At 40.5% G+C, this 12,600-nt stretch overlaps 1 protein-coding gene and 1 long non-coding RNA gene across 5 annotated transcripts in view; one reads left to right on the forward strand and one right to left on the reverse strand.

Moving 5' to 3' along the window:
• Positions 1-2,341, reverse strand: part of LOC105375870 (uncharacterized) — a 29,091-nt gene extending 26,750 nt beyond the window's left edge. The window contains exon 1 of the long non-coding RNA XR_928951.3: positions 2,265-2,341. This is a non-coding gene — a long non-coding RNA (uncharacterized LOC105375870). The remainder of the gene's footprint in view (positions 1-2,264) is intronic.
• Positions 1-12,600, forward strand: part of CLVS1 (clavesin 1) — a 536,782-nt gene that overhangs the window by 412,310 nt on the left and 111,872 nt on the right. The gene's annotated exons all lie outside the window — the stretch shown is intronic.

Genomic DNA, 12,600 nt, shown 5'->3' on the forward strand with positions numbered 1-12,600 from the left:
TGCACCCTGCAGATCACTACTTCCAAGAGTGTCACGTGCTACCGAGCTTGCGCTTAAGTGGATCACTTCAGTGCAAACAAAGGAAGCAGATGAAATTACCTCCTGTTTGTATGACCACTTATGAGGATTTTGGAGAAGAGGTTTTTGGGCTACATGGAGGGTAGAATGGTTAGTCTTTAGGGTTCTTTCTACTTTCTAAGGATCTGGGATTCTATGAGAAGTAACTCAGAAAGGCAATGCTGCTTAGCTTTCTGGTGACACATTATTACAAATTACTATTACTATAACAAATTAAGGGCATAGTTTGGAGACATTTTGAATCAGTATAGATAAAACTTCTGTCCCTTCTTAATTTCATAGGCAGATTAACTCTATGGAGTGACCCTCTCCCCATAGACGGCAGTTATAGGCAGCTATGTATATAGCAAAATATGACATTCTCAGATCAAGTAGTCATTACTCATGCTCTTCAAAGTGCAAGACTAGGACCCATTTCAATCATCCATTACACTCCACTGCAATAATTGGTGGGTCTGTTTCTTACATTATGACTTCTTCCTATTTGGCCCCCAGCAAATATCTGGCACCTAGTGGGCCTCTGATAAGCATGTATTTATTGAATGGATCTTATTTTATTGAAATGTATCCTATTTCCCAGAGGAGGAGAAGTAGGGCAGGCATTTCAGAAAAGAAACAGCAAGTCCACATTGTTCCAGGGATGCCACATTGTCCTGGGTAGTGTATTTGGGGGACATTTGTAAAATTGCTTTTGAATGTACAGACTACATGGAGCATCCTGCCTTGCCTAATCATAGACTTCTGTGTTCTTTTCCATCAGTCACTTCCTCTTAGCTCTAACTCCTTTTCTCCAACCTCCTCTCACCTAAGCCTCTGAACATCTGATCTCTCTCTCTTTAAAGCTTTTATCAAAGGAAGTTTTAAAGTAAGCTTCAGGGCTTATATCATGCGCTTAAATTATGCTGACCATATCTCTAGGAATTTCTGTACAAGCTGCATGTAATCTTACCTTTTTTAAAAAAGATAATTTATTACATGTGCAAGTAACTGTGATTCAAGTTCTAGCCCTTTATACATTTTTTTTCTTAAATCAGTAAGAAAAATGTCCTTTATCCAACCCTATGATCCAATTTTTCTCCCTGAAAATGTATGGATTACTTAATACGTCCCTTGAAAAGTTCAATACATTGATGTGAACCTACTGAGATCTTACTGAATTAATCCATGCGAATGTGTTTTAAAAGGTAATGCTATATATAAATCAAAGCTATTCTTGTGGGAAATACTAGAAGACCTTTGGAGGGGCAACTTGGGTCCCATTTGGGCCTTCAGTTGTCACACGCCAGGGTCCAAGACGAATTTCATAATGTCCTATGGCTTTGGTTAAGGAACAGCCCACCTATCATGGAGAGGAAGCCCATGGTCCCTGGGGAGCTGAGCTGGGGTACAGTTCCTTCATCAAGGATAGGGGCTCCACCATCCCATGCTTTTTAGCTTGTTGACTTGGCCATGCTGAGGAAGCACTCAGGGCTACTGAAGACAATTCTGCTCTTGCCCACAGTGGATGGTCAACTCTGCCCAGCTACTTAAAACTTCTCACTTCAGGCTATCTGCTCTCTGGTTTTGGGATATTCAGATGCCCCGGTCAATCTACCACTGGCTCTCCTAGCAACTTTTTTCAGGTAGCCATTAACCCCTCTGATGTCTTGAAAAAGCCGTAAGTGGTACTAAGCAGAGTTCATTCCTTTGTGGTCAGCAGTACTGTGCAAGGAGGGCCCAATACAGGTGTCCATTTGTTAGCCACAAAAATTCAAGATAAATTCCAACACCACTGGCAGACTTTAATAGGGAAAGGAAAAGCCACATGCAGCCAGCATCAATGAGAGAAAAGCCACATGCTTCCTTCCTCCCATGCACCCTCAGAGAGACCTGAAGAAGCCAGCCATCCTTTGGACATGTGGGAGGTTGTGAGGGAGGGAGATCCTGTGTTCCAGTGCAGAGAACTTGCTCTCTCTGCCATCCCGCCTTTTCTAGAGTAGGTGTGAGAAAGTGGCCTTGTCAGGGGAAATAAGCAGTCCAATTTGGTGCTAGGCCATCTGGTTTGGGATTTCAGCTGTTTGTTTATAGCATTTGTCTAGGATTACCTGCTTCTCAACCTCTGGAGAATTTTGGGCCTTGGGTTATGAAACCCTCCCCCCCTTTCCCCACCCTCCCCCATCTCCACCACCAAATGGGTAATACAATACCTCCTGCAGGGACAAGGTGGTTGGGCCCCTCCCAGACAGCCCAATCTTTAGGCAGTGAGAATTTAAGGTCATTCTGGGTCAATCCTGCACGTTGCATCACAGCATGGTTCCAGAACCTGGAGCTTTAGTCCTATTACCATGGTTCCTAGTTCTCCATAAAGACAGTTGTTGAAGGAGAACTTTGATTAGTAATTGCTACACGTTGGGTTGTTGACTACTAATTGTTACACTTTGAGTTCTCTGGGGAGCAGACTATGATGTGACTAACATGCCAAAGATTTATTAGGTAGTGCTCTTTGGGTCCACACCTGTTGGGGAAGCTACTACAGAAGAAAGTTGGACAGTAGGAGAAATTAAGCTGGGATTCAGTCATCTCCAGTGAAGCCTCGGACATTCTGAAGCCGGAATGAGCATTTGCAGTTTGACTTAACAGGCAGGGATGCACACAGCGCTCAGTCACTGTGTGCTGGCTGTCCTAGGAAAAGGTAGTAAACTTGGGCAAAGTGGTTCTCTTCAGCTAGAGGTTCCAAAGGGAGCTGTTATCTGAGGACTTTCTGGCAGCCCTCTCAGTGGCTGGGCAGCATATCAGAGCATCTGTAATAAGCAAAAGATGTTTGGAATATCTTTTGGAAAAGCCATTGCAATGTAACATCAAGGAGCTTCTATTATTCTGAATCAGGATATATACCTGTGTTTTCTGGATTACTCACATTCCCAATAGACTCCAAAGTGGATGTGATTCTAGGTACTATAGAAGTGATGGGCACTGGGCTAGCAAGCAGGGGACAGTGTTCTATTTTGGTCTACCAGTTGTATTTCTGTGCTTTAAAAAAGTAATTAATACTACTTCTGACCATAATCATTAAAAAATGGCATGTGCATGGAGCTTGGTTATGCCCTTCACAGGCTTATTAATGAGTCATTATAACAATCATATTGAAGGCCTCTCTTTAGGGATCATCAGATTTTTACATCAAAATTTATCTTGTATCAGCCAGTCATGAAATGTTAATCGTGTATGTATTATAAATTCCTCCTTTTAGAGCAATGCTTTGAAGAATTGTCATTGTTTAGAATATTAAGTTGCCCCAGTTACATAAATATTCTATAAATATTAGTTCAAAAAATCTTAGTCAAAATACTAATTTTGAGAGTGCTTGAAAGTCATATACTCCTGCTGGGCTGTTTGATCTTTAAATGTGGTCAATATAAAGTCTAAAAGAGCCGTTGTATCTGTTCATTACAATTTGTTTAAATTTTAATCAAACAAAGTAATATTTATGCTACCATTTTAATACAGCTCAGCGTTATTCTCAGTTCTGCTGGGGATTTCTGGCAGAATGAGACGTCTTGTTCTTGAGCTTTGTGACATGTCCAAAATCAATTTTTGGAATTATTTTTTATAAATCACTGCAGCCCAGTGATTACAATCAATGTACTGTGTTTATCAATGTTCAGCCAACCCAGATACTTCAAGAGCTACCTTCCTCAAGTGTTTCACTTAGGAAGAGTTACAGTCTTGTGTCCTGTAGGCTATTTAAAAATATTTGATTCCTTGAAGGACCCAGATATTTGTTACGGATTTAGAGAAGTGTATTTTTCACTTTCTGGAAGAGATCCAGAAAGCTATCTATTTTTTGTTTTTTTCTCATTTTCATGCTCATGTCATTATGGTCTAGCCATTCTGAACACTTGGTGCGTTCCTTAACTCTTTATTCAAGGTTTATTGTGTGACCTTTTTTTTTTCTGTTAAAGATGTTTTTTATGACATTTATATCAACTTTGATTCAACTTCTTCCAACAGTTTTGAGCCACTTTAGTAGAAAAGGAGGTCCGTTGCTTTTCCAACTCTTTTCTTTTTTTGACCCTAAATGATGACTTTCTAACTTTTAGTCCAGGTAGGATGGAACATGGAGCAATGCTCAGAGGCTTAGCCAACTGCAAATCACCTATCTCCCTAGTGTCCTTTATTTATTTAATTATTTTTTTGTGTTACGAGAATTACGTTTTTTTCCTTTCAACTTTTATTTTAGGCTCATGGGGTACATGTGCAGTTCTGTTACGTGGGTAAACTGTACGTTGCTGAGGTTTGGTGTACAGATTATTTCATTACCCAGGTAGTGAGCATAATACTCAATAGGTAGTTTTTTGTTCCTCGCCCTCCTTCTACCCTCCAACTTTAAGTAGGTCCTGGTGTCTATTATTCCCTTCTTTGTGTCTATGTGTACTCAGTGTTTAGCTCCTACTTATAAGTGAGAATGTGAGGTATTTGATTTTTTGTTCCTACGTTAGTTTGCTTAAAATTATGGCCTCCATTTGCATCCATGTTGCTGCAAAGGACAGGATTTCATTCTTTTTTTACAGCTGCATACTATTCCATAGTGTATATTTATCACATTTTCTTCACCCAGTCCACTGTTGATGAGCATCTAGGTTGATTCCATGTCTTTGCTATTGTGATAGGGCTGTGATGAACATATGCATGCATGTGCCTTTGTGGTAGAATGATTTATATTCTTTTGGGTATTTACCCAGTAATGAGATTGCTGGGTTGAATGGTAATTCTGTTTTTAGCTCTTTGGCATCTCTTTTTTAATACTCCTCAAACCTTGGTTTATTCTCTCTGGCTTCCTTCCCACAGCCTGCCCCCTTTTCCAAAACATGATATGTTCACTTCTCTTTGGCAAATCCAAAGTGCCATATTCACTCAAAAGATTAGAACGATGAAAAGTCTGTCACATCAATGGGCAATGGTAGTTCATGAGTATCAATGATTGATCATATTGTGATTAGTAATTTTGACAGTCAGATTGGGCAGATGCATTTCAAGTTAGCAATATTAATATATTCACACCAATTCTGCAGTCCATACATCAGATATGCAGACATCCTGACTCGTGGTGTATTCATCCAACATAAAATATGGGTCAGCTAGTCTTCTAAACAGGAGTACAGCAGGGAAAAAAGCCAACCTGGCTTCCAGGTGCTTACAGTCAGTCTAGGGCCTTACTTCTCCAGGTGTAGTCCACAAACCAGCACTACCAGCAGAACTGAGAGCTGGTTAGAAATGCAGATTTTCAGGCCCTGCCCCAGACATACTGAATCAGAGCTGTATTTCAACAAGTCCTTCGGGTGATTTGCATGCATATTAAAGTTTGAGAAGCCCTGCCCTAACACATGGTATTATAGTAGAACGTGATGGATATCAACTTTAAGCACCGCAGATGCCCCTGGAGGGTTAGTTACAACCCACAGTGCTGACCCCACTCCCAGAGTTTCTGATTCCATAGATCTAGAGCAGAGCCCAAGAATTTACACTTCACACACACTTCCAGGAGATGCTGCTGCTGCTGGTACAAACCACACTTTGGTGTGGGTGAGAGTAGAGCCCACTGTCTGGGCTTCAGTCTTGGCTATGCCCCTCAAAGACCTCAGGCAAATCATTCACTTTCTGGGTCTCGGTTTCCTCATTTGTGAAATGTGGTGTCAGTACCCTCCTCAGAGGTTTATGGTGAAAATCAAATAGTACATGCAACATGCCTGGTAGACAGCCAGTGGCTACTCAATGTTAGAGTGTTGTTGAAAGAATGAAGAGGGCAGCCCTTGTCTGTGGGCCCATGTGGCTCTAGTGCACTCATTTAAATGAAATCACTCTCAATTGCCCCAGCGCTGTAATTTGGATCTCTGAAAATTAGACCTTACCAGCCTGTTCACTGGCCCTAAACAAGAGAGTTCCTTATTTCTGCTCACTATAGGTAATGACTTAGGGCGAGATTGGTGTCACCTGCCCACGCAGTGACACTGGAGGCACTTTTTCTTTCTGTTCATGTGGTGTGATCATTTTAATTATCACCTGACAATTGAGGGATGAATCCTTTCCCAATGCCTTTGCAGTGTGGTGATTAATGAGGCTGAAATGCACCTCTTTCATCCTGTAGGACTCTCTTCAGCAGTAACATTTATAGCATCTTTTATTAATTTTTACAGTTTTCATGTATTAAAGAATGTTAGATAGAACAGATGGAAGGAGAAGGATATTTGCATTTTGTCAAGAAGTTTTTTAATTCATGTTTTCTAAACACTCTGGTGATGCTTGAAGGACACTTTTCCTCTAGGCAAACTATGTTTTACCTCCTCAGGTCACAAAGCTGTAATTTTGAATTTGCAAGAGTGCATTATGTTATGATATGAATATTAGAGGAATAAATATCTCCTCCAATGCTCTACCTTATTAAGTATCAATTAAACTCAGGAAGATAATTAGGGCTAATGACACTCTGGTGATTCTGATGGCAGGCTCAGTATGGCCCATTTTAAATAGTGCCATTTAAATGAGTTTATCTTTGGTGTACTTTTGATAAATGGTGTTTTCAGACTCCCATGCATTATAAACCTCACCAGCCCTCTGATTCATCCATTTAGGAAGCAGTCACTAAGCTGTTACTTCCAGCCAGTCACAAAGATAAACAGATGCAGTTCCTCTTCTCAGGAAGGTCATAGTTCAAAGCAGAGGTGGACTTACAAAGAAATGATTTCTTTAAAATATTTGGAAAAAGAGACATGTACCAAGCTAATAAAATCCCAGAGGAGGAATCCAATCTAGCCATGTGGAGTTAGGAATGGCATCCTGGGCAAGGCCAGGCCTCAGCTGATACTTAGCAGGTAAGCGTGGAATAGTAAGTGAAGATGCAAGAAGTGCTTACAGACAGTGGAGAGAATACAGACAAAGACAGAGACACAGCTCAGTAGGAGAGAGAAACAGAATTAATTTAATTTTTTTGGAATGCACAGGCACCAGGCAAGGAGCTTGTTTGCCCCTGCACCATGCTAAGGAGTTTGTTCTCTTCCTGCAGACTTAGAGAGCCACTGGACATATGGAAGCAAGATGGCAACACAGATTTATATTTCACATGGGATTAATTTGGTGGCTATGAGCAGGGAGGGGTTAGAGGCAGGAGAACCAATTAAAAGTCAACTGCAATAATTTACATAAGAAATGATAAGCATCTGAACTAGGAGTGATAAAAGGGATTCAATAACCACATAGGAAGAAAGATAAGGCAATGGTTGAGGGTTGGCTGCGTGGGAAGTGGTGGAGGAGGAGTTAAGGATGAAGGTCAGATGTGAAGCTAAGGTGAAGGGTGAATGGTGATGCCGACTGGTGATATCGTGCAGACAGGAACGGGCAGGTGTGGGAGGTATTGAGCATTTTTTAGGGGTTAGATATGCTGAATTTAAGATACTGTGGATATCTTCATCATTTACCTTAAATCTGAGCTGAAGGAAGAGAAAGAGGTTTAGGATGGATCCATAGATTTGGTGGTACTTGAAATCAGAGGAAAGAAAAGACCATTCAGAAAAAACCTAGGGAGGGAGAAGCAGTGACTGAGAAAAGAACCCAAGTGAAGAGCAATACATCATGAACAAGTTAGATGAGAAGCTGGAGAATGGGGAGATCGGGACAATGGGGAGATCGGGACAGGAAGCTGTGAGAAGAATCAGGACAGAAACTAAGGAACTGGGGCTTTGGAAAGAAACCATGGCAGTGCAGTGGTGGGGGTGTCATCTAGAGAGCTCTGGGTTGAAGTGGGGTAGAGAAAGGAAGATAACTCTGCTAAGAAATGTGTCCACAAACCACAGGTGGTGGGGGCATAGAGGAAACCGGAGGAAAGGGAGCAGGAGCATGGTGGTGGAAGAAGTATTCCATCATACTTTCCGTTGGGCAAGATTTTCACGAGAAGAATATATTAAGGGTCTTCAAATAGCTGGGGGAGATTGATCTTGACAAAGGACTGGCCTCTGTGAATTGTTTAGTTCCACATTAATATTTCTCAGTGCACCAAAGAAGAGATCTCTGCCTCTCATTATTATAAAATGAAGTGTGATATGGCTGTCCAGGGACTCTGTTCTGAATACACTATGTAATATATTAGCAGAAATAGAGACTATTACAAGTTTCTAGTCCTGTCAGTGTTCTAGGGGAGCTAGCATCAGAGTTAAAGCAGCATTTGGCATTCTTGAAGGGACTCTGTTGGAAAGAAACTCTGTGGAGAACCTTGCCCTGCACAGCCCACACTCTCTGGTGATTAAACTACAGGTGTTAAAAATAATGCCCTTGCAAAAGAATTAGTGAAAAAAAAGAGGAGAGGAGGGCATTTACATAACAGGACAATTCTCTGTATCTTCCAGGCTGAGCTAGACCAGAGTTGAAGTTGAAACAATGTCATGAAAACTATCACTTTTTTCTGTCCATCTCTCAGTCTCACTTTTCTCTGTACTGACTTTATTTTCAGTCAGGATTTTTTCATAATGTAACAGTGAAGACTGAAAGTTTCAGGTATACGTGACCTCTAGTGTCTGCGTCGTCTGTGTTCTTGGCAGGAGTGAGGGGATTGAGGGGTGCTCTGGCTAAATGAGATCTTGAGCCCACCCAAGGTTCTACACCTGAACCATAGAGACTAAAATGTTGGGGGGTAGTCCCCAAAAGATGCCAGGCAATGACAAGCATTTCCAATTAGAAACTTAAGGAGGTAGACATTTGAGGGACTTTTTTGTTGCATTTTTTAACTTACTGTCCAATACATCACCCGGAAATTGGAAAGTTGGTTATTGTTTCTGTTAGGCAACTAATTCCATGGATAGGCTTGGGAAAATTGCTTGACACCTGGAGACCTGAGATTCTTTATGAGCAAGAACTGAGGGGATTGGACTGCAGCAGTGGTTCTCATACTTTATAACTCCCAGAATCACTGGAGAACTTGTTAAAACCTTGATTCTAGAATCCTAACTTTGGAGTGTCTGATTCAGTAGTTTGGGGTGTGAGGGTAAGAATTTGCATTTTCAACAAATTCCCAGATGATGCTGTAGGTGGCTGAAGGACCACGCTTGATAAACCCCGGACTTCATAAATCTTTACAACCCTTCTCATCTTCTAATGCTATGAATCTGTAATTTTACCTATACAGAAATAGCCTTAGAGCCTAGGTCAGGATGGGAAATAGGTTTGCTCTCACATATCAAATTTAAACAATTAGAATGCAGTATTGAGAAGAATTCTGATGCAAATGCCATGCTCAGCTGAAAAAGAGTACTATGACTGATTCATGATTTTCCTTCAGTGTGGATGGTACCCAGGCAATCCTGCCACATATTGGCCCTCTCTGATGTGGGAATTTCTAGCTCAGGAGGCAGTCTAGTGTTCATGATATAAGTCTAGTGTTCATGATATAAGTCTAGTGTTCATGATATTAGAAATAAGCAAAATAACCATAGGGAATGACAACTATCTCAAGCTCATTTTTTCTAGTCTACGGTAAATACAAGGATGCTGCTGATGATGGTAATGATGATCATGATGATGATAGCAGTGATGGTAACCTATTAGTCTGGCACTTAAAATACTTTCACAAACATTATCTTATTTGATCCTCCCTACACCCCTTTCATTAAGTGGAGCAGGAGAGCAACAAACCATCACTTCAAAATAAGAATATGAAAAAGATTGATTGAAACAATCAAACATCAATTTCCAATAAAATTTTAATTGCCTTTGAGGCCAACTAAAGACCTTGGACTTTTTGTTGTGTTCCACCATGGGAGAAAGTGTACTTTGTTTGAATAAATAAGTGGTAACATATAGTCCAAATTCACCAAAGAAGAACATTTGTTGCTAAGAAACTAGTAAGACTGGGCGTGGTGGCTCATGCCTATAATCCTAGCACTTTGGGAGGCCGAAGTGGGCAGATCACCTGAGGTCAGGAGTTCAAGACCAGCCTGGCCAACATGGTGAAACTCCATCTCTACTAAAATACAAAAATTAGCCGGTCATGATGGAGGGTGCTCGTAATCCCAGCTACTCTGGAGGCTGAAATGGGAGAATTGCTTGAACCCGGGAGATGGTGGTTGCAGTGAGCCAAGATCATGCCACTGCACTCCAGGCTGGGTGGCTGAGCAAGACTCCATCTCAAAAACAAAAACAAAAACAAAAAAACCCAAGAATTGTTAGCCCTTTATAGCCCAAAGACAAAATTCCACTGTACAGTTCCTTTTTTTTTTTTTTTTTTTTTAAATTTCAATAGGTTTTTGGGGAACAAGTGGTGTTTGGCTACATGAATAAGTTCTTTAGTGGTGATTTCTGAGATTTTGGTGCACCCATCACCCGAGCAGTGTACACTGTACCCAATGGGTAGTCTTTTATCACACAACCCCCTCCTAAACTTCCCTCTGAGTCCCCAAAGTTCACCATGTCATTCTCATGCCTTTGCATCCTGATAGCTTAGCTCACATTTATGAGTGAGAGCATACGATGTTTGGCTTTCCATTCCTGAGTTAGTTCACTTAGAATAATGGTCTTTAATTCCATCCAGGTTGCTGCTAATGCCATTAGTTTGTTCCTTTCTGTGGTTGAGTATTCCATGGTATACATATATCACATTTTCTTTATCCACTTGTTGATTGAAGGACATTTGGGCTGATTCCATATTTTTGCAATTGCAAATTGTGCTGCTATAAACATGAATGTGTAAGTATCTTTTCTGTATAACGACTTCTTTTCCTGTGGGTAGATACCGAGGAGGGGGATTGCTGGATTTTTATATTTCAAAGGACTTAATTTTTGTGTAAAAACTCTTTTGACGAGTAAGGTACATTGAGAGAACTACCCAAATCATAAGTGTGTAGCTCAGTGACTTTTCAGCAAGTAAAAGCATCTAGTAAACCAAATGCAGATCAAGAAAAAATAGTAACTGTGACCCAGAGATACTATGTACCAGTGATTGACCCCAATGGTAGTCACTATCTTGACTTTCAAAACCATAGATCAGCTTTGCTGCAGTACAGTTTATACAAAAAGAAGTGACTGACCACTTATGTCATGGTGTTCCTATCTGAATCAATCATTTTTTTTTGGTTGATTCAGACAGGAACACCATGACATAAGTGGTCAGTATGACAACACCTTGATATCATATCTGTTTGTAATATTTTTATAAAAGATCTGAAACGATTAATGTCTATATTTAGAATTTATTAAATAAATTATTCTTGAAAATTTTGAGCCTAAAAAATGCAGTAGCACATTGTCTTTGTGGAACTTAATTATACAGCAGTTGTATCTCCTAAAATATAGGATATGCAGCATCAAATAAGTGTCATAAAATGGATGCATTAAGCCTGCGCACTTCATTCTTTTTTTGTTATATCTTTTTTATTATTTATTTTTTAACTTGACACATAGTAATTATAAATATTTATGGGGTACATAGTGATGTCTCAATCCGTACAATGTATAGAGATGAGATCAGGCTAATTAGCATATCAGTATCTCAAACATTTGTCATTTCTTTGTGTTGGGAACATTCAATATCCTCTCTTCTAGCTATTTGAAAATATATATTATTGTTAGCTATAGTGATCTTAACAGTGCTATAGAACACTAGAACTTATTCCCCCTATCTGGCAATAAATTTTGTACCCTTGAACAAATTTCTCCCATTCCCCTGCTTCCCCCAACCCTCCCTAGCCTCTAATATCCTCTGTTCTACTTTTTCCTTCTATGAGATCAACGTTTTTAAGATCAACATTTTAAGCTTCTGCATATGAGTGAGAACATGCGGTGTTTTATTTTCTGTGCCTGGCACTTAACATAATGTACACACTTTATTCTTAAGAAAACCCCTCAAACTTCCCTTAGAGACTGTTTATTCTAATTTTACACATAATTCTTGCTGATTTGGTCATGTAGTTTCCAACCTCACCACATACTAGAAGTCTCAATGAAGAATTTGGGTTGAGAGGCTAACCCACATTAGCATATAGACAATATCAAGAAATAACAGGGCCAAGTGCAGTGGCTCACACCTGTAATCCCAGCCCTTTGGGAGGCCGAGGCGGGTGGGTCACAAGGTCAGGAGATGGAGACCATCCTGGCTAACACGGTGAAACCTAGTCTCTTCTAAAAATACAAAAAAAATTAGCCAGATGTGGTGGCACATGCCTGTAGTCCCAGCTACTCGGCAGGCTGAGGCAGGAGGCTCTTGCTTGAACCTGGAAGGTGGAGGTTGCAGTGAGCCAAGACTGCACCCCTGCACTCCAGCCTGGGCGACTCCATCTCAAAAAAGGAAAAAAAAAAAGACAAATAACAGCTGACAGCCAGGGAAGAAACACGAATAACATAAAATTTTGCAACTGAAGCTAGAAAGCACTATGACTGAGGCCATTTAGAGTCACGTATCTTAGTAGCTCTGAGAGCACTGGCATATCATAGAATCAGATATGACATGCACAGCCATGATCTTGAGCTATCTGGAAGAGTCTCAGTCATATTCAACAAGCATTA

Source organism: Homo sapiens, chromosome 8 (assembly GCF_000001405.40).
Source record: "Homo sapiens chromosome 8, GRCh38.p14 Primary Assembly".
In the NCBI taxonomy this organism is placed as follows: Eukaryota; Metazoa; Chordata; class Mammalia; order Primates; family Hominidae; genus Homo; species Homo sapiens.